Raw genomic sequence first — 22,996 nt, 5'->3', positions numbered from 1 at the left:
CATGGTGAAAGCCCGTCACTACTAAAAATACAAAAAAATCAGCCGGGCGTCGTGGCACGTGCCTGTAACCCCAGCTACTCAAGAGGCTGACACAGGAGAATCTCTTGAACCTGGGAGGTGGAGGCTGCAGCGAGCCTAGAGTGTGGATTCCAGCCTGTGCGACAGAGTGAAACTCTGTCTCAAAAACAAAAAACAAAAGAAAAGAAAAAAAAACACATTAAAAAATGAAGTAAAGCTCATTCAAGGGTAATCTTGAAGACAGTATTACCCTGATACCAACACCAGACAAAGACATCACAAGAACACTGTACACTTAGCCGGGTACAGTAGCTCATGCCTGTAATCCCAGCACTTGGGAAGGCGGAGGCAGGCACATCACCTGAGGTCAGTAGTTCAAGATCAGCCTGGCCAACATGGTGAAACTCCATCTCTACAAAAACACAAAAAAATTATTCAGGCATGGTGGTGCACACCTGTGGTCCCAGGTACTCAGGAGGCTGAAGCAGGAGAATCGCTTGAGCCAGGGAGGCAGAGGTTGCAGTGAGCTAAGATCACACCGCTGCATTCCAGCCTGGGCCACAGAGCGAGACTCCATTTAAAAAAAAAAAAATATATTCGGCCGGGTGCAGTGGTTCACACCTGTAATCCCAGCACTTTGGGAGGCCGAGGCAGGCGGATCACCTGAGGTCAGGAGTTCGAGACCAGTCTCAACACGGAGAAACCCCATCTCTAACAAAAATACAAAATTAGCCAGGCGTGGTGGTATATGCCTGCAATCCCAGCTACTCGGGAGGCTGAGGCAGAATTGCTTGAACGTGGGAGGCGGAGGTTGCGGTTAGCCAAGATCGCACCATTGCACTCCAGCCTGGGCAACAAGAGCGAAACTCCGTCTCAAAAAAAAAAAAAAAAAAATTCAGACTTAGGCCAGACTTGGTGGCTCATGCATGTAATCTCAGCACTTTGGAAGGCTTAGGTGGGCGGTTCACCTGAGGTCAGGAGTTTTGAGACCAACCTAACCAATGCGGTGAAACCTCGTCTCTACTAAAAATACAAAAATTAACCAGGTGTGGTGTCACACACCTGTAATCCTAGCTACTTGGGAAGCTGAGGCACCGGAATCGCTTGAACCAGGGAGATGGGTTACAGGGAGCCAAGATACTGCCACCGCACTCCAGCCTGGACAACCGAGTGAGACTGTGTCTCAAAAACAAACAAACAAACAAAAAAAAAAACTGGAAAGAAAAAGGGAAAAAGAACAACTGCAGACTTAATTCATCCTTCATGAATTAAGACAAAAAATCCGGGCATGGTGGCGAGTGCCTGTAATCCCAGCAACTCGGGAGGCTGAGGTACAAGAATCACTTGAACCCCGGAGGCGGAGGCTGCCATAAGCCAAAATGGCACCACTGCACTCCTGCCTGGGTGACAGAGTGAGACTCCATCTCATTCATTCATTCATATATATATATATATATCATTCATATATATATATATATATATATATATAAAATCATTCATATATATGTGTGTATATATGTGTGTGTATATATATATGTGTGTATATATACACACACACACACACAAACTATATATAAAAAACTTTCCAAAGGTATTAAAGATCTAAATATTTAAGTTGGTGCAAAATAATTCCAGTTTTTGCCATTACTTCCTTTTTTTTTTTTTTGAGATGAAGTCTCACTTCATCACCTAGCCTGGAGTGCAGTGGTGCAATCTTGGCTCACTGCAGCCTCAGCTTCCTGGGCTCAAGCGATGCTACCACCTCAGTCGCCCTAGTAGCTGGGATTACAGGCTAAAATTAAAAAGACAGCAATAAATGTTGATGAGAATATTAAGAATTTAGAACCCACGCCCGGATGCAGTGGCTCATGCCTGTAATCTCGGCACTTTGGGAGGCCGAGGTGGGTGAATCACCTGAGGTCAGGAGTTCAAGACCAACCTGGCCAATGTGGTGAAACCCTGTCACTACCAAAAATACAAACATTAGCCAGGCGTGGTGGCGGGCGCCTGTAGTCCAAGCTACTTGGGAGGCTGAGGCAGAGAATTGCTTGAACCCGAGAGGCGGAGGCTGCAGTGAGCCAAGACCATGCCACTGCACTCCAGCCTGGGCTACAGAGGGAGACTCTGTTCTAAAAAAAGAAAGAAAGAAAGAAAGAAAAGAAAGAAAAGAAAGAAAAGAAAGAAAAGAAAGAAAGAAAGAAAGAAAGAAAGAAAGAAAGAAAGAAAGAAAGAAAGAAAGAAAGAAAGAAATTAGAACCCATATAGGCTAAAGTAGGACTGTAAAACGGTGCAACCACTATGTAAAACAGTCTGGCTGTTCCTCAAAATGCTAAACATAGAATGACCCTATGATCCGACAATACCACTTCTAGGTATTTTCCCAAGAGAACTGAAAACATATATTCACGCTAAAACTTTAATACAAATTTTCACAGTAGCACTGCCTGTAACAGCCACAAAGTGGAAGAAACAAAATGTCCGTCAAGTGATGAAAAGACAAACAAAAAGTGGCATCAGTACAAAGCAATATTCAGCAGTAAAATGGAATGAAGTATGCATACATACAACAACATAAATGGGCCTTAAAACATTATGCTAAGTTAAACAAGTCAGACACGAAAGGCCACAAATTATATGACTGTATTTGTATGAAACGCCTAGAATAGGCAAATACATAGAAACATGAATTAGATTAGTGGTTGTGAGGGGCTAGAGGAGACTTAATGGGAAATGACTGCTGGGAATGGGTTTTCTTTTGGGGTGATGAAAGGTTCTGGAATTAGACAGTGGTAACAGTTGTTCAACTCTACACCCTTTAAGTAGCTGCATTTTATTCTTTATTTTTGAGATACAGTTTCACCCTGTAGCCCAGGGACTGAGTGCAGACTCAGCGTCCTGAGTAGGTGGATTACAGGTGTATGCCACCACACCGGGCTAATTTTTGTATTTTTAGTAGAGATGGGGTTTCACCATGTTGGCCAGGCTGGTCTCAAACTCCCTGACCTCAAGTGATCTGCCCACCTCTACCTCCCAAAGTGCTGGGATTACAGGCATGAGCCACTGCGCCTGGCCAAAGAGGGTGAATTTTATCTTATGTGAATTATATATTTTTTTTTTCTTGGAGACGAAGTTTCGCTCTTGTTGCCCAGGCTGGAGTGCAACAGCACGATCTCCGCTCACCACAACCTCCACCTCTCAGGTTCAAGCAATTCTCCTACCTCAGCCTCCCGAGTAGCTGGGATTACAGCCATGCGCCACCACACCAGCTAATTTTGTATTTTTAGTAGAGACAAAGTTTCACCATGTTGGTCAGGCTGGTCTCAAACTCCTGACCTCAGGTGATCCATCCACCTCAGCCTCCAAAAGTGCTAGGATTACAGTTGTGAGCCACCGTACCCGGCCTATACTTTGATTTTTAAAATGCAATTAGTATACATTTATTTATTCACTTATTTATTTAGAGACGGAGTCTTGCTAATGCAGTTAGTATACATTTATTTATTTATTTATTTATTTAGAGACAGAGTCTCGCTCTGTCCTCCAGGCTGGAATGCCGTGGTGCGATCTCAGCTCAAAGCAACCTCTGCCTCCTGGGCACAAGCTATTCTCCTGCCTCAGCCTAAGACGGGGTTCCACCATGTTGGCCAGGCTGGTCTTGAACTCCTGACCTCAGAAGATCTGCCCGCCCCAGCCTCCCAAAGTGCTGGGATTACAGGTATGAGCCACCACCATGCCTTTAAATTTGCAACTATATAACCAATATACATTAAAACATGACATACTATAAAAAATTCTTATGTAAAATAGTATCAAGTATTAGCTTGATTGTTTTTCATGAAGAGGGGGTCTTGATATTATTGCCAAGGCAGGTCTTGAACTCCTGGGCTCAAGCAATCCACTTGCCTCAGCCACCCAAAGTCCTGGGACTAGAGGCCATGAGCCACCGCTCCAAGCCAAGTCTGATTTTTTAAGTTCATGCTTTAACAAAAATTCTCTTAAAAATCTAAAAAAGGCCCGGCGGAGGCTTACGCCTGTAATTCCAACACTTTGGGAGGCTGAGGAAGACAGATCACGAGGTCTAAAGAACGAGACCATCCTGGCCAACATGGTGAAAGCCTGTCTCTACAAAAAATACAAAAATTAGCTGGGCATAGTGGTATGCACCTGTAGTCCCAGCCACTCAGGAGGCTGAGGCAAGAGAATCACTTCAACCCAGGAGGCAGAGGTTGCAGTGAGCCAAGATCGCGCCACTGCACTCCAGCCTGGAGACAGAGCAAGACTCCATCTCAAAAAAAAAAAAAAAAAAAAAAAAATCTGAAAAGAGCGAGGGAAGAGTACGGAGGAATAAATATTTATTGGTCCCTAAATGCCCTAGAATACCTAGGGTATTCCATATTCGAAGGTATTTAGGGTCCAATAAATATTTATTATTCCTTTTCCCCCTCAACTACAATAATTAATCTTCATTAAGAATCCCCATGCAGGCCAGACGCAGTGGCTCACACCTGTAATCCCAGCACTTTGGGAGGCTGAGTCGGGCATATCACCTGAGGTCAGGAGTTCGAGACCAGCCTGGCCGACATGGTGAAACCTGTCTCTACCAAAATTACAAAAAATTACCTGGGTGTATTTTGTAAAAATACAAAAATTAGCGGACACCTGTAATCCCAGCTACTGGGGAAGCTGAGGCAGAAGAATTGCTTAACCCAGGAGGCAGAGGTTGCAGTGAACCGAGATTGTGTCATTGCACTCTAGCCTGGGCGACAGAGTGAGACTCTGGTCTCAAAAAATAAACAAATAAATAAATAAGAATAAAAATAAATTGCATATATACAGTTGTTCACTTTCAGAATGTATGAACAGGAAATATCTATACATTCATGCAAAATAAAACCATCCAGGTTTAAAAAAAAAAAAAAAAAAAAAGCCAGTGCGGTGGCTTATGCCTATAATCCCAGCACATTGGGAGGCCAAGGCAGGCAGATCACCTGAGGTCAGGAGTTCGAGACCAGCTTAGCCGACATGGTGAAATCCCATCTCTACTAAAAATACAAAAATTAGGTCACACCTAGTGGCTCACTCCTGTTATCCCAGCACTTTGGGAGGCCGAGGCGGGTGGATCACCTGAGCTCAGGAGTTCCAGACCAGCCTGACCAATACAGTGAAATACAAAAATTTCTACTGAAAATACAAAAATTAGGCCAGGCGCGGTGGCTAACGTCTATAATCCCAGCACTTTGGGAGGCCAAGGTGGGCGGATCCCCTGAGGTAGGGAGTTTGACACGAGCCTGACCAACATGGAGAAACCTAGTCTCTACTAAAATACAAAATTAGCCAAGCATGGTGGGGCATGCCTGTAGTCCCAGCTACTCGGGAGGCTGAGGCAGGAGAATCACTTGAACCCAGGAGGTACAGGTTGCAGTGAGCCGAGATCAAACCACTGCACTCCAACTTGGGCAACAGAACAAGACTCTGACTCAAAAAAAAAAAATTGCCGGGCACGGTGCCTCACGCCTGTAATCCCAGCACTTTGGGAGGCTGAGGTAGGTGGATAACCTGAGGTCAGGAGTTCGAGACCAGCCTGGCCAACATGGTGAAACCCCGTCGCTACTAAAAATACAAAAATTAGCCGAGCATGGTGGCAGGCGACTGTAATCCCAGCTACTCAGGTGGCTGAGGCAGGAGAATCACTTGAACCCAGGAGCTGGAGGTTGCAGTGAGCCGAGATCGCACCATTGCATTCCAGCTGGGGCGACAGAGGGAGACTCTGTCTCAAAAATAATAATAATAATAAAATTAAAAAGGGAAAGCTATGCTCTAAAATGGAAAGATTTCAACATACACCATTATGTGAAAAAGGAAGACCAAGTGTGCACAGTCCACTACCTTTCTCTTAAAAAAGGTGGTCTCCGGGAAAGCACAAGAATTGGAGGTGCGTTACCTGAGCAAACATGGCACAGAGGTCACTTCACTGGTTAACTTTTCATGTATTTTTTAATCATATATCTATTCAAAACTTCAATCTGAAAAATGATTGGGTCAGCTTAAAAGTAAAAACTAACGAATGTCTATTTAATATAATCCTTTTCCTTTAATTAAAACTATTAATTTCTTATTTGGTTGGATATGGTAGCCAGATTCCAAGCTGGCCCCCAATTATCCCAGCCTGATGGTATTCATGCCTTTGTGTAATCCCTTCCCTATCTGCTTGGTATGTGTGGCCAGCCAATAGAATACACATCATAAAAAGTTACTGCATCTTCCTGCTTGGTCTGTCCCTGTCTCTTGGATCACTCACTCCGGGAAAAGCCAGCTACCATACAGTAAGCAGGCCTATGGAGAAGTGCAAGTGGGAAAGAACAGGCCTCATACAAAGAGCTAGCATCCATATGAGTGAGCCGTCTTGGACAGGGATCCTACAGCCTTCAGAGACCGCAGCCCTGGCAGACATCTTGACTGTAAATTCATTAGAGAGACTGAGCCAGCACCATCCAGCTAAGCCACTCCATGATTCCTTACAAAATGTGAGATAATAAATATTTACTCCTCTAAGCTGCTACACTTAGGGGTCTGTTACGCAGAAGGGATAACTGATAGAGCAGAAAACATTCCATCCACAGCTCTAAAAACTTATGTTCTCAAAAAATTGTCGTAAAAACACTATAAAAATTATTAGCATAGTACTGGATATTAAAACCCCTATTAAATCAGTAAGACTGTAGTAGATATGAGTTCTTCAAATTTTTACAAGAGTCTAAAGTCAGTTTATCAAATATCTAGAAGCACAATAAGCTTTGAATCAATAAATCACTCGAAAACACAGATCTAGCTATATAATAAATGAAACTTTGACTATACAACTACAGAAAATCATTAACTAAAATGAAAACCAGATTGGGAAAATATTTATATCCAATGAGACAGAAATTTAATATGTATAAAACATTAAATCCAAAAAGATACATCAGCAAAGAATATAGACACAAAACTCCTAGAAAAAAATACAAACAGTAAACAAGTAGAAATCATTTTCATCAATAAAACTGTAGTAATTAAAGCAATCTTGTAGTAGCATTTTGCACCCACTTAATAAAAAAAAAAATCAGTGCTATCTAAGTGTGGGACAAATGCTAAATTCATATACTATTTAGAACTGTGTGTAAAATGGTAAAATCCTTTTGGAAAGCCATCCAGAAATAAGTACATCAAGAGCCAACTATATATATGATATTCCACTATCAGCAGTTAATCCTCAAGAAATAATTAAAAAAAAAAAAAACAGAAAAAGAAATTCCACAGACATTACTATGAAATTGATAAGGTATCTATCAAGACTTCACTTACAACTCTAACAATTATCTTCTCCTCCAAAGAACTAATTTCAGTGGTTTAATGACCTGCCCTAACACTTCTGCCCCAAAGCTCTGTTAGAAAAGCACTTTACGTACAATACCTAAATAAAAACATAATTTAAAAGGAAAAAAGAATAAATATAAAACCTGGGAAGGGCACGGTGGCTCACAGCTGTTATCCCAGCACTTTGGGAGGCTGAGGAGGGTGGATCACTTGAGGCCAGGAGTTTGAGACCAGCCTGTCCAACATGGTGAAACCCTGTCTCTACTAAAAATACAAAAATTACCCAGGCGTTGAGGGCACACGCCTATAATTTCAGCTACTCGGGAGGCTGAGGCACAAGAATCACTTGCCAAAAAAAAAAAAGAAATGGCCAGGCGCAGTGGCTCACGCCTGTAATCCCAGCACTTTGGGAAGCAGAGGCGGGCGGATCACAAGGTCAGGAGATCAAGACCATCCTGGCTAACATGGTGAAACCCCAGTGAAACCCCATCTCTACTAAAAATACAAAAAATTAGCCAGGCATGCTGGTGGGCATCTGTAGTCCCAGCTACTTGGGAGGCTGAGGCAGGAGAATGGCGTGAACCCGGGAGCCAGAGCTTGCAGTGAACCTGGCGACAGAGGGAGACTCCGTCTCAAAAAAAAAAAAAAAAAAAAAGAATCGCTTGAACCCAGGAGGCAGAAGTTGCAGTGAGCTGAGATCATGTCACTGCATTCGGGCCTGGATGAAAGTGAGATGCAGTTCCAAAAAAATAAATATAAATATATACAAACATACATACATACATACATACATACATACATACATACATACACACACACACAACCTGGCTCGGCACAGTGGCTCACACCTGTAATCCCAACACTTTGGGAGGCCGAGGCAGGAGGACCACTTGAACCCAAGAATTAAAGACTAGCCTAGGGAACATAGTGCCATCCCATCCCTACAAAAAAATACAAAAATTAGCTGGGCATGGCCAGGTGCAGTGGCTCACACCTGTAATCCCAGCACTTTGGGAGGCCAAGGCAGGCGGATCATGAGGTCAGGAGAACGAGACTATCCTGGCTAACATGGTGAAACCCCGTCTCTACTAAAAATACAAAAAATTAGCCGGGTGTGGTGGCGGGCACCTGTGGTCCCAGTTACTCGGGAGGCTGAGGCAGGAGAATGGCGTGAACCCGGGAGGCGGAGCTTTCAGTGAGCCGAGATGGCACCACTGCACTCCAGCCTGGGCGATGGGGCAAGACTGTCTCAAAAAACAAAACAAAAAAAATTAGCTAGGTATGAAGGCACACACCTGTAGTCCCAGCCTACTCAAAGGGGCAGAGGTGGGGGTATTGCTTGAGACTGGGAGGTTGAGGCTGCAGTGAGTTGTGACTGCATCACTGCACTCCAGCCTAGCCAACAGAGTGAGACCCTGTCTCAAAAGATAAAAAAAAAAAAAAGGACACGCACGGTGGCTCATGCCTGTAATCCCAGCACTTTGGGAAGCCGAGGCGGGCAGATCACCAGAGGTTGGGAGTCCGAGACAAGTCTGACCAACATGGAGAAATCCCATCTCTACTAAAAATACAAAAATTAGCCGGGCGTGGTGGCACATGCCTGTAATCCCAGCTAGTCGGGAGGCTGAGGTAGGTGAATCGCTTGAACCCGGGAGGCAGAAGTTGCAGGGAGCCGAGACTGTGCCATTGCACTCCAGCCTGGGCAACAAGAGCGAAACTCCGTCTCAAAAATAAAAATAAAAATAAAAAAGACTGAGTCTCGCTGTGTTGTCCAGGCTGGAGTGCAATGGCACAATCTTGGCTCACTGCAACCTCCGTCTCCTGGGTTCAATTCAATTCTGGATTCTCCTGCCTCAGCCTCCCGAGTAGCTGGGACTACAGGCACCCGCCATCACACCTGGCTAATTTTTGTATTTTTAGTAGATAGGGGTTTGGCCACGTTAGCCAGGCTGGTCTCGACTCCTGGCTTCAGGTGATCCTCCCGCCTAGGCCTCCCAAAGTGCTGGGATTATAGGCGTGAGCCACCGTGCCCTGCTGGCAATTCTTAATATATTGTGACACGATGGAAGTGCTGTTCCTCAATATACTAATTATAAAAACAGACTTAACGTATTTTCAGTTGAACCAACTATAACGTTAAAGAAATGCCTTTGGTATATACAACTATAAATTACCAATTTACAATCATATTTTTAAAAAGAAATGCTTTTGAATGTAAAATTCCAATGACAAATTAGTGTAGCATTAATGTCTGTTATTTTCACTGGGTATAGACACAACTTGCACATCACCTACTTTCACCAGGGAGACCCAACAACTCCAATTACAGCATCAAGAGAAATCAGAGATAACACAGGAAATATAGCCTCATAATTTACAAAGAAAGACTACCTTCAGACTCACTCTGGTATGTGAGGGAATATCACATAACCAGTAATTACTTTTAATTTAATCTAATGTGAAAATATAATTGTTCATTCTCTAAAATAGATTTTATCTTTCCAGCAATTGCTAGAAGAGCATTATGGTATTTTATATAAGGTCACTAGCAATGTGAAAGGAACTTTAGAAGTATTAATAATAACAGCAAAAAACACTAAAATTTGTGTTTTACTAAGGGAAAATCACAAGTATGTATGATTTTATTGGTTTCCTAACAAATTATCTAAAAATGGAAGCAACGTTTTCAAAGTATGGTTTGTGGCAGGGCGCGGTGGCTCACGACTGTAATCCCAGCACTTTGGGAGGCCAAGGCGGTGGATTCCCTGAACTCAGGAGTTTGAGACCAGAACGGACAACACAGTGAAAACCTGTCTCTACAAAAATACAAAAAAGCCAGGCGTCGTGGCGGGTGCCTGTAATCCCAGCTACACAGGAGGCTGAGGCAGGAGAATCGCTTGAGCTCGGGAGGCGGAGGTTGCAGTGAGCCGAGATCGTGCCATTGCATTCCAGCTTGCGTGACAGAGCGAGACTCCATCTCAAAAAAATAAATAAATAAATAAAAATTAAAAAATACAAATATAAAAAATTAGCCAGGCATGGTGGGACACACCTGTAGTCCTAACTACTCGGGAGGCTGAGGCAGGAGAATCACTTGAACTTGGGAGGCAGAGGTTGCAGTGTGCCAAGATCACGCAATTGCACTCTAGCCTGGGTGACAGAGTAAGACTGTCTCAAAAAAAGAAAAGAAATAAAGAAAGTATGGTTTGTATATAGGCATTTAAAAGAATGTGGATCATCTAGAACAGGGGTCCCCAACGCCCAGGCCACAGAATGGTACTGGTCCTCTCAGCCTGTTAGGAACCGGGCTGCATAGCAGGAGGTGAACAGCAGACAAGGGAGCATTATCGCCTGAGCTCCCACTCCTGTCACATCAGGGGTGGCATTAGATTCTCAGAGGATCATGAACCCTATTGTGAACTGCAAATGCAAGGGATCTAGGTTGCGCGCTTCTTATGAGATTCTAACTAATGCGTGATAATCTAAGGTGGAAAAGTTTCATCCCCAAACCATCCCACTCCCACCTGTGGAAAAACTGTTTCCCAGGAATTTGGTCCCTGGTGCCAAAAAGGCTGGGGACTGCTAATCTAGACTACAGAAAAAACTCTCTCTGCATGGAATCCACCATACAAAACTGTAATCCCAGCACTTTGGGAGGCCGAGGTGGGCAGCTCACCTGAGGTCAGGAGTTCAAGAACAGCCTGGCCAACGTGGTGAAACCCCATGTCTACTAAAAAATACAAAAATTAGCCAGGCGTGGTGATGCACACCTATAATCCCAGCTACTCCAGAGGCTGACGCACGAGAATTGCTTGAACTCAGCAGGTGGAGGTTGCAGTGAACCGAGATGGCATCACTGCACTCCAGTCTGGGCAACAAGAGCAACATTCCGTCTCAAAAAAAAAAACAAAACATAATGAGATGAGACATTACTACATATCTACACGAATGGCTAAAATTAAAATAGTGACCACACCAAATGCTGGTGAGGATGCATAGAAACTGAAGCACTCGGCCAGGTGCAATGGCTCATGCCTGAAATCCCAGGACTTTGGGAAGCCAAGATGGGTGGATTACCTGAGGTCAGGAGTTCGAGACCAGCCTGGCCAACATGGTGAAACCCTATCTCTACTAAAAATACAAAAAATTAGCCAGGCATGGTGCACATGCCTGTAATCCCAGCTACTTGGGAGGCTGATGCAGGAGAATCACTTGAAGCCGGGAAGCAGAGGTTGCAGTGAGCCGAGATCGTGCCACTGCACTTCAGCCTGGGCAACAGGGCGAGACTCCGTCTCAAAAAACAAAAAATAAAAGAAACTGGATCACTCATATACTGCTAGTGAGAATGTAAATGGTACAGACACTAGGGAAAACAGCTTGGTAGTTTCTTATAAAACTGAACATTGGGCCAGGCGTGGTGGCTCACACCTGTAATCCCAGCACTTCGGGAGGCCGAGGTGGGTGGATCACCTGAGGTCAGGAGTTCGAGACCAGCCTGACCCAACATGGTGAAACCCCGTCTCTACTAAAAATAAAAAAATTAGCCTGGTGTGGTGGTGTGCACCTGTGGTCCCAGCTACTCAGGAGCCTGAGGCGGGATAATCGCTTGAATCCGGGAGGCAGAGGTTGCAGTGAGCCAGGATCGCGCCACTGCCCTCCAGCCTGGGTGACAGAGAGAGATTGTCTCAAAAAAACAAAAAAACAACTGAACATTGGCGGGGCGCCGTGGCTCACGCCTGTAATCCCAGCACTTTGGGAGGCTGAGGAGGGTGGATCACCTGGGGTCAAGAGTTTGGGACCAGCCTGGCAAACACAGTGAAACCCCATCTCTACTAAAAATACAAAAATGAGCTGGGTGTGGTGGTTGACACCTATAATCCCAGCTACATGCGAGGCTGAGAAAGGACAATCGCTTGAACCCAGGAGGCAGAGGTTGCAGCGAGCCAAGATCGCGCAATTGCACTCCAGCCTGGGCAACAAGATCGAAACTCCCTCTCAGGAAAAAAAAAAAACTTAACATGCCATTACCATATAATACTGCAATTGTTCTACTGGTATTTATCCCAGAGAAGTGAAAACTTACAGTCACACAAAACCCCATAAATGAACATAAATAGTACTTTTACCTTAATTACCAAAAGCTAGCATTGCCCCAGATGTCCTTCAACAGGTGAACGGTCAAGCAAACCATGGTATATTTGTATCATGGAATATTACTTAGTGATAAAAAGGAAAAAACTAGGGCCGTGCGCAGTGGCTCACACCTGTAATCCCAGCACTTTGGGAGGCCAATGCAGGTAGATCACTTGAGGCCAGGAGTTCAAGACTACCCTGACCAACATGGTGAAACCCCATCTCTACTAAAAATACAAAAATTAGCTGGGTGTGGTGGCAGGGGCCTATAATCCCAACTGCTCAGGAGGCTGAGGCAGGAGAATCGCTTGAACCTGGGAGGCGGAGGTTGCAGTGAGCCAAGATCATGCCATTGCACTCCAGCCTGGTCCACAAGAGTGAAACTCCGTCTCAAAAAAAAAACAAACAAAAAAAACAACTATTGATTTAGTCAACAACTTAGATGAATCCCCTGGAAATTATGCTAAGGGAAAAAAAGACAATCCCAAAAGGCTGCATACTGTATGACTCATGTTTATCTAACATTTGTGAAATGACAAAACTTCAGGAAAAAAAGTTTAGTAACTGACAAAGGCTAGAGATGGAGGGGCTAGGCCAGGCATGGTGGCTCCTGCCTGTAATCCCAGCCATTTGGGAGGCCAAGGCAGGCGGATTGCTTGAGCTCACGAGTTCAAGACGAGCTTGAGCAACATGGTAAAACCCCATCTCTACAAAAACATACAAAAATTAGTGGGGCATGGTGGCAAGTGCCTGTAGTCGCAGCTAATCAGGAGGCTGAGGTGGGAGGATCGCTTAAGCCTGGGACACAGAGGGTGCAGTGAGCTGAGATGCAACTACTGCACTCCAGCCTGGGCGGCAGAGCAAGACGCTGTCACATACGAAAAAGAGATGGAAGGTTGCCAAGAAGACGATGGATGTAGTTTTAAAACGGCTGGCAACAGCAGGGATCCTTATGGTATTAGAAATGTTTAGCAACTTTTTTTTTTTTTTTTGAGACAGAGACATACTCTGTCACCCAGGCTAGAGTGCAGCGGCGCGATCTCAGCTCACTGCAACTTCCGCCTCCTGGGTTCAAGCGATTCTCCAACCTCAGCCTCCCGAGTAGCTAGGATTACAGGCATGACCCACCATATCCAGCTAATTTTTTTTTTATTTTTAGTAGACACGGGGTTTCACCATGTTGGCCAGACTGGTCTCGAACTACTGACCTCAGGTGATCCAGCCGCCTCAGCCTCCCAAAGTGCTGGGATTACAGGCATGAGCCACTGCACCCAGCGAACATTTAGAAAGTTGACGGGAGTCATGGATATACTAACCTATACAGGTGATAAAAACAAAGAACTTAATATACACACAATGAAAGACTACCAGTAAAACTGGGGACATCCAGAATGTCCTGATAGAAATACAGATTTCTTTTAAGGAAAAAGATAAAATTTAAGGACATCTGAATAAGATGGATAAATTACATGAACGTCAATGCCTAAGTAAGACTGGCTGGACGCGGTGGCTCAAGCCTGTAATCCCAACACTTTGGGAGGCTGAGGCGGGCGGATCACAAGGTCGGGAGATTGAGACCACCCTGGATAACACGGTGAAACACCGTCTCTACTAAAAATACAAAAACTAGCTGGGCGTCATAGCACACGCCTGTAGTCCCAGCTACTCAGGAGGCTGAGGCAGGAGAATTGCTTGAACCCAGGAGGTGGAGGTTGCAGTGAGCCGAGATTGAGCCACTGCACTCTAGCCTGGGCATCAGATGGAGACTCCGACTCAAAAAAAAAAAAAAAAAACGATTGGTGAAGTACATCAACATCAATATTCTGGTTGTGTGGTATTAGATATTTTTTGCAAAATATTACCATTGCAAAACCAGGCAAAATATACAAGGGACCTCTCTGTATTCTTTTTTTTTTTTAAGAGACAGGGTCACCCAGGCTGGAGTGCAGTGGCACAGTCAGTGTTCACTGTAGCCTCAAACTCCTGGGCTCAAGCAATCCTCCAACCTCAGCCTTCCAAAACGCTGGGATTACAGGCATAAGTCACTGTGCCTAGCCCATGGAATTTCCTGATTTTTTTTTTTTTTTTTTGAGATGGAGTTTCGCTCTTCTAGCCCAGGCTGGAGTGCAATGGCACGATCTTGGCTCACTACAACCTCCGCCTCCCGGGTTCAAGTGATTCTTCTGCCTCAGCCTCCCAAGTAGCTGGGATTACAAGCACGCACCATCACGCCTGGCTAATTTTGTATTTTTAGTAGAGACGGGGTTTCTCCATGTTGGTCAGGCTGGTCTTGGACTCCCAACCTCAGGTGATCCACCTCAGCCTCCCAAAGTGCTGGGATTACAGGCGTGAGCCACCACGCCCAGCCTGGCCATGGAATTTGTTACAACTGCATGTGAATCAACATTTATCTAAACAAAAATTTCATAATAAGAAAATATTCGCGGCTGAGGTGGCTCATGCAGAGTAGGAGAATTGCCTGAAGCCAGAAATTCAAGACCAGCCTGGGCAACATAGCAAGACCCTGTCTCTACCAAATAATTTTTTCTTTAATTAGCCAGGCGTGGTGGCATGGGCCTGTAGTCCCAACTACTCATGAGGCTAAAGTAGGAGAATCACTTTAACACAGGAGGTCTAAACTGCAGTGAGTTGTGATCATACTACTAGACTCCAGCCTGAGCAACAGAGCGAGACACTGTCCAAAAAAAAAAAAAAAATCTTGTTACATGTTACATGCTCATATGAAAAGATGTCTTAACATATTAACCAAAAGGGAAAAAAAGGGGTGTGTAGAGAGAAGAGACAATTTCTAATAGAATATTAAGAGTGTAAATGAGGGAGTATATGAAAACTGACAAAAATCAAGAGATTTTTATATTCCATTTTTAAGTTTGACTTTTTTTTTTTTTTTTTTGAGACAAAGTCTCACTCTGTCACCCAGGCTGGAGTGCAGTGGCACAATCCCAGCTTACTGCAACCTCTGCCTCCTGGGTTCAAGCGATCCTCCTGCATCAGCCTCCTGAGTAGCTGGGACTACAGGCACGTGCCACCACACCCAGCTAATTTTTTTTTGTATTTTCAGTAGAGACAGGGTTTCACTACGTTGGCCAGGCTGGTCTTGAACTCCTGACCTCAGATAATCCACCCCCTCAGCCTCCCAAAGTGCTGGGATTATAGATGTGAACCACCGCGCCCGGCCAAGTATTACTTTTCTAAATTCAAAAAGGTTCATAGGAATTGCTTTAAAAGGCTACAATTGAGATTATTTAAATTAGATTCAAAAGTAACTGTTCAATTGTTATTATCCTACCACTAAATTTCAGAGACTGGATCTCCTTTCAATGGGCTCCCCTGAAAACCAGGAAGAATAAATTAAACATTTCTATCTAGAACAAAGGACAACCTGCAAAAAGCAACAATGTAATAAACTTACACCACTTAACAGTTGGAATACAGAAAGCTATTGATCCTATTGCACAAATTAAATTATTCTGATTATCAAACAAAAATACAACAAATGCTCCTGATTACTAATTAAAAATGGAAACTGTCAACAGCAGTTAATGTCTTTATCTTACTAATCAAATAAGTTTGGAAAAATAGAGAAAAAAAAAAACAAAAACTTAGCCAAATGCAGTGGCTCATTCCCGTAATCCCAATACGTTGGAAGGCTGAGGGCGGTGGATCACTTGGGCCCAGCCAGGAGCCAAGATCAGGCCACTGCACTCTAGCCTGGGAAACAGTACAAGACCCTGTCTCAGAAAGAAAAAAAAAAAAACTCAAAAATATCTTTCTTGAAATTCACAACTCTTTCAAATATACATTTGACTCTTGGCATGCAGCAGTAGGCATCACTTACTGCACACCTACTTCAGAACCAGCAGTGTATTACTTCATATAAATTATCTTGTATCATGGCCAGGAGAGATGGCTCACACCTGTAATCCTAGCAACTTTGGGAGGCCGAGGTGGGTCGATCACCTGAGGTCAGGAGTTCGACCAGCCTGGCCAACGTGGTGAACCCCATCTCTACTAAAAACACAAAATTAGTCGGGCATGGTGGCGCATGCCTATAATCCAAGCTACTTGGGAGGCTGAGGCAGGAGAATCAACTTGAACCCATGAGGTGGAGGTTGCAGTGAGCCAAGATCGTGCCATTTTGCACTCCAGCCTGGGCGATAGAGACTCTGTCTCAAAAAAAAAAAAAAAAAAAAAGTTATCTTGTATCATAGACTTAACAACCCTCCAATGAAGGTACTAGCCGTAATTTAGAACTGAGGAAATGGGCCTTAGAGACATTAAGGGACTTCTTCCAGTAAACACAGTGCAGTATGCAGTCAGAGATGTCCAACCTAAAACCATTATAATTTATTATCCTTGGCCAGGCTCAGTGGCTCATGCCTGTAATCCCAGCACTTTGGGAGGCTGAGGCAGGCGGACCATAAGGTCAGGAGTTCAAGACCAGCTTAACCAACGTGGTGAAACCCCATCTCTTCTAAAAATACAAAAATTAGCCAGGCGTGGTGGCATGCACCTGTAATCCCAGCTACTCAGGAGGCTGAGGCAGGAGAATTGCTTGAACACGGCAGACGGAGATTGCAGTGAGCCAAGATCGCACCACTGCCCTCGAACCTGTGCAACAGAGCAAGACTCCATCTCAAAAAAAAAAATTATTATCCTTAATTAAAAGAGTGAAAGTTGAGAATGGAGAAAAAAATTAATGCATGAGATATTAGGAAGCTCAAATTCAAAAAGCCTTAGAAATTGAGTACATGAGGAAATGAAAAAAGAAAAAAAACCAACCAACCTGTAAAGTTTTAGTAATTTGGTCCATTGAAAATGATGAAGGCTGACAATCCACTTATCACCTTTCTAAAATGTACTCACTCCCCTTCCCAAACTGTACCTCTGTAATAGCATCATTCATTCATTAACTCGATATGTCCCCAGTAAAAAGAAGGCACCATGCTATACACTGTTAAGATGCAAAGATGAATCAGACCAGGAGAATAAAGGCATGAGCAAGGGGAGAGTATGGAGCAAGGGACCATTAAGAGTTCAGTTTGGCTGAACTCAGGGTACACAAGGCTCTAGCATCAGATTTGGAAAGGTCAGGACAGGATCCTATCAAAAAGGACACTGAATTTGGGCTTTATTTGTTCAGAAAATGAGGTGTGAGGCATTTAGGTTACAAATTTAAGTAGAGACCCAGTATTTCTCATTTTGGAAGTAGGAAGTAATTTTACACAGGATAGACTGGAAGGAAAGACTAAATGAAGACCAACAATAAAGATGTCATAGAAAAATGAATAAAGGGAGAAACTGAGGGCATCTGTAAAATTTTGTAATAGTAAAAACATTCAACTATACAGCACGGCATATAAGCCTATCTTTATACCTTTATCTCCTGACAACCCCACTCCTCCCAGATAGCTAGCCAAGGATTTCTGGCCACTTGCATATGCTATTCCCTCTTACTGGTATGTCTCTGCTTAAACTATAAATAACCACTCTGTGAAGTCCTCCCTGATTATTCTAGGCATGCCTTCCTCCACACTCCCAAAGTACTGCATACATAACACCTACCAGACCACTTAGTATTCTGTATTGTCATTGTTTACACTAGTTTTTGCCACACAGTGAAGTTCCTTAAAAGCAAACTATCTCTTTCCTTTTTTTAATTTTTTTATTTTTTATTATACTGGCAGTGCCTGGCTCAAGAGGTACTCAAATGTATTTTAATCATTTAAATGATTGACTGCAAGGTTTCCAGCTTTGAGATGAATAGGATAATGATGTCATCATGAACACAGAAGTAAATGCGTGTTTGGCAATAAAAGAGATGGGTTCAAAATGAAAATAATAGGCTGGGCGCAGTGGCTCATGCCTGTAATCCCAGCACTTTGGGAAGCAGAGGCAGGCGTATCACTTGAGGTCAGGAGTTTGAGACCAGCATGGCCAACATGGCAAAACCCTGTCTCTACTAAAAATACAAAAATTAGCCAGGCATGGTGGTGGGCGCCTGTAGTCCCAGCTACTTAGGAGGCTGAGGCAGGAGAATCACTTGAACCCAGAAGGCAGAGGTTGCAGTGAGCCGAGATGGCACCACTGCACTACAGCCTGGGTGACAGAGAAAGACCCTGTCCAAAGGAAAAATAAAAAAGGAAATAATATTACATTTTAGGTGAATATAACACAAGGTAGAGGAGCAGCTTAGTTGACAAGTAGAATTTGTTGGTTTGAAGTCAGTTCAGAAGAGAGTTTCATAGAGTGGAGTAGCAGCAGAATCAATGAAAGTGAATGAGACTGCAGAGAAAGAGGAAGAAAAAGAGAACAAGGACGCAAAAAAGGACTGTTTGAGAAGTGGTATGCAGGTCGTGGTGGCTCACACCTGTAATTCCAGCACTTTGAAAGACTGAAGCAGGTGGATCACTTGAGGTTAGGGGTTCGAGACCAGCCTGGCCAACATGGTGAAACCTCTCTCTGCTAAAAATACAAAAATTAGCCAAGCATGGTGGAGGGCGCCTGCAATCCCAGCTACTTGGGAGGCTGAGGCACAAGAATCTCTTGAACCCAGGAGATGGAGGTTGCCGTGGGCTAAGGTCACACCACTGCACTCCAGCCTGGGCAACAGAGCAAGAATTCATCTTAAAAAAAAAAAAAAAAAAAAAAAAAAAAAGGCTGCGCGCGGTGGCTCACGCCTGTAATCCCAGCACTTTGGGAGGCCAAGGCGGGTGGATCACGAGGTCAGGAGTTCAAGACCAGCCTGGCCAAGATGGTGAAACCCCGTCTCTACTAAAAATATAAAAATTAGCTGGTTGCGGTGGCGGGCGCCTGTAATCCCAGCTACTCCAGAGGCTGAGGCAGAGAATTGCTTGAACCTGGGAGGCAGAGGTTGCAGTGAGCCGAGATCGCCCCACTGCACTCCAGCCTGGGTGACAGAGTGAGACTCTGTCTCAAAACAAAAACAAAAACAAACAAAAAAGGTCACCCAGCCAGGAGGGAATCGGAGAGAGAGCAGAACCTCAGGTGTGAAGAGATCAATTTTCTTCCAAGATAGCTAAGGAGGGAGTAGAAAATTGTGGGATGATGGGTAGAGAAGAGGAAGGAACCTCTGAGGAATCATTTTTGTCTCAGGCAGCAAAACTATAAGCCTTAGACATCATCTGCCTCATCTCTCTCCATTCCTCAAATCCAGACTCCAATCTGCCTCCAGATCAGGTAGCCCCCAAAAAGCTGCCAATTTTCTCCCTTTGAAATAATCTTTTAGATTTACCCCCTTTCTTTAGAGTACTCACTGTGCTCATTTTTTTTTTAAGAGACAGAATCTCATTATATTGCCTAGGTTGGAGTGCAGTGGCTATTCACAGGCACAATCACAGCTAATTGCAGCCTCAAGTGATCCTCCTGCCTCGGCCTCCAGAGTAGCTAGGACTACAGGTACATGCCACTGGGCCGATTCTTAAGTCTTAATTACTATTGCAACATACCCTACATCCTAACCTTGCCTCTAATCTCCTCTACTCAAAGTCTTCCAAACAGATTTTACATCACTTCTCAGCTAAAATCTCTCAAGGGCTGCCAGTTCCCATCACATCAATACCAAATGCTTCAGTCTGAATTTCTAGGCCCCATTACCTGACTACATCCATCCTACCCAAGCAATCTCCAACAAGTATCCTCTGAAAATGCCATGCTCATTTAATTCTCCACATCCAAAGCACCTAGCCTGTCTCAACAACAACAACAAAGCATAAAACCTTTGTACACTGGGAAGAATTAGAAAATATCAGCCCAATTAAATATAAAAGTACCAGGTCAGGATTATAAATTGTAATGACAATCACTTCACTGTATGCAGAGAAAATAAGAGCACATGATGGTAAACTGAAGAGGCTACTAATTCGTGACAAGAGGCAAACAGTCCACTTAGAGGTAGATACACAAAATAACAGAAAATATGACCCTTCTTTCTCTAATTCCAGACAGGAAATCTACAACCCTAATAACTACTCTTACCCACTGCCAAGAGAATTTTCTCCTTTTTTTTTTTTTTTGACAGGATCTTGCTCTGTTGCCTAGGCTGGAATGCAGTGGCATGATCATGGCTCACTGCAGTCTCAAACTTCTGGCCTCAAGTGATCCTACTACTGCCTCAGCCTCCTGAGTAGCTGGGACTACAGGCATACCACCACAACCAACTGAGTGTAGAGACAGGATCTCACTATGTTGCCCAGTCTAGTTTCAAACTCTGGGCCCCAAGCAATCCTTTTGTCTCGGCTTCCCAACTTGCTAGAATTACAGGTGTTAGCCACCAAGCCCAGCCAAAATTACAGACAAAAAGAGACAAATAGCAATTTGCTAAGGATTTTCTAAAATTCCCAGCATAGTAACAATACCTACTATATCAATAACTTAAATCAACTGTGAACAAGTTGAATACATTAATATCACATGACTACATAGAAAAGTTATTTTTAATTACACTTTTCTCAAGCTGTATTGCTTACCTAACTTTGCATTCTAAGATTGACCGCTTTTTTTTTTTTTTTTTGAGATGGAGTCTCCCTCTGTCTCAAGGCTGGAGTGCAGTGGCACAATCTCGGCTCACTGCAACCTCCGCCTCCCGGGTTCAAGTGATTCTCCTGCCTCAACCTCCCGAGCCTGCCACCACGCCCAGCTAATTTTTGTATTTTTAGTAGAGACGGGGTTTCACCATGTCGGCCAGGATGGTTTTTTTTTTTCTTGAGAGGGAGTTTCGCTCTTGTTGCCCAGGCTAGAGTGCAATGGGGCGATCTCAGCTCACTGCAACCTCAGCCTCCCGGGTTCAAGTGATTCTCCTGCCTCAGCCTCCCAAATAGCTGAGATTACAGGCTCCTGCCACCATGCCTAGCTAATTTTTTGTATTTTTAGTAGAGACGGGGTTTTGCCATGTTGGCCAGGCTGGTCTTGAAATCCTCATCTCAGGTGATCCACCCGCCTCAGCCTCCCAAAGTGCTGGGATTACAGGCGTGAGCCACCATGCCCACCCTGACCTCACTTTTTAAGTCCTCAGTCTGAGGCCGGGCTCCGTGGCTCACACCTGTAATCCCAGCACTTTGGGAGGCTGAGGCGGGTGGATCACCTGAGGTCAGGAGTTCGAGACCAGCTGGGCCAACATGGTAAAACCCCATCTCTACTAAAAATACAAAAATTAGCTGGGGTGGTGGTGCGCACCTGTAATCCCAGCTACTCAGAAGGCTGAGGCAGGAGAACTGCTTGAACCCAGAAGGCGGAGATTGCAGTGAGCCGAGATCATGCCATTGCACTCCAGCCTGGGCAACAAGAGTGAAACTTCGTCTCAAAAAAAAAAATGTCTTCAGTTTAAAAATATCAAAGGCAAAAATAAAGGCAATAGATTTCAATCACAACTTTGAACCAAATTCCTAAAATAATAAATTAGGGGATGGGTACGGTGGCTCACGCCTGTAATCCCAGCACTTTGGGAGGCCAAGGTGGGCGGATCACCTGAGGTCAGGAGTTCAAGACCAGCCTGGCCCACATGGTGAAACCTCGTCTCTAATAAAAATACAAAAAGTAGTCAGGCATGGTGGTGCACACCTGTAGTCCCAGCTACTCGGGAGGCTGAGGTGGGAGAATCGCTTGAACCCAGGAGGAGGTGGTTGAAGTGAGCTGAGATCGCGCCACTACACTCCAGCCTGGGTGACAGCATGACTGTGTCTCAAAAAAATAAATAAACTACATACTTGCTTCTTCAAGGTGATAAAGTCTTTGAGCAATTTCAATTTCTCCCTGAAAAAAAAACTTCTACATTTATACATTTGCTAACTCCCATTTTAGACATGTAACCTACTATCTAAAGGCTCCAATATTTTCAGTTTTTTGTTTGTTTGTTTGTTTGTTTTTTTGTTGTTTTTTTTTTTGAGACAGAGTTTCACTCTTATTTCCCAGTATGGAGTGCAATGGCGCAATCTTGGCTCACTGCAACCTCTGCCTCCTGGGTTCAAGCGATTCTCCTGCCTCAGCCTCTCGAGTAGCTGGGATTACAGTTGCCCACCATCACGCCCGGCTAATTTTTGTAGAGACGGAGTTTCACCATGTTGGCCAGACTGGTCTCAAACTCCTGACCTCAGGTGATCTGTCCACCTCAGCCTCCCAAAGTGCTGGGACTACAGGTGTGAGCCACCACACTCAGCCTTCATTTTTTTTTTAATAGAACCAATACTCCACTAACATCTCTTTGACGAGAAACAGGTTTACAATTCTATTTGTATGCTTCTAGAGAAACATCTATCTCCATTCTCAGATTTAAATTTATGTGCAAAAACAAAGACACGATATATATATAAAATAAATTTCAACGTGAACCCAAGAAAAAGGATTTGTCTGAGCTGCCAATAGGTTTTCAAAACAGCCTACCCACCCTAATGTGTAGGACAATTCAGACTCAAGATAACCACTAAAGCAAATTTTTTTAAATCTGCAATTG

At 44.0% G+C, this 22,996-nt stretch overlaps 1 protein-coding gene across 12 annotated transcripts in view, besides 1 other annotated feature; it reads right to left on the bottom strand.

Annotated features, from left to right (window-relative positions):
• The window catches only part of NSD1 (nuclear receptor binding SET domain protein 1), a 168,416-nt gene that overhangs the window by 139,708 nt on the left and 5,712 nt on the right, over positions 1-22,996 (bottom strand). The gene's annotated exons all lie outside the window — the stretch shown is intronic.
• Positions 720-849: a silencer, noted in NCBI's record as "silent region_16676". NCBI's record gives its function as "represses an Ori minimal core promoter by ATAC-STARR-seq in GM12878 lymphoblastoid cells {active_cell/tissue: GM12878}" and the evidence as "EXISTENCE:reporter gene assay evidence [ECO:0000049][PMID:35858748]".

Source organism: Homo sapiens, chromosome 5 (genome assembly GCF_000001405.40).
Source record: "Homo sapiens chromosome 5, GRCh38.p14 Primary Assembly".
Classification (NCBI taxonomy): domain Eukaryota; kingdom Metazoa; phylum Chordata; class Mammalia; order Primates; family Hominidae; genus Homo; species Homo sapiens.
This window is presented reverse-complemented; position numbering and strand designations above follow the sequence as displayed.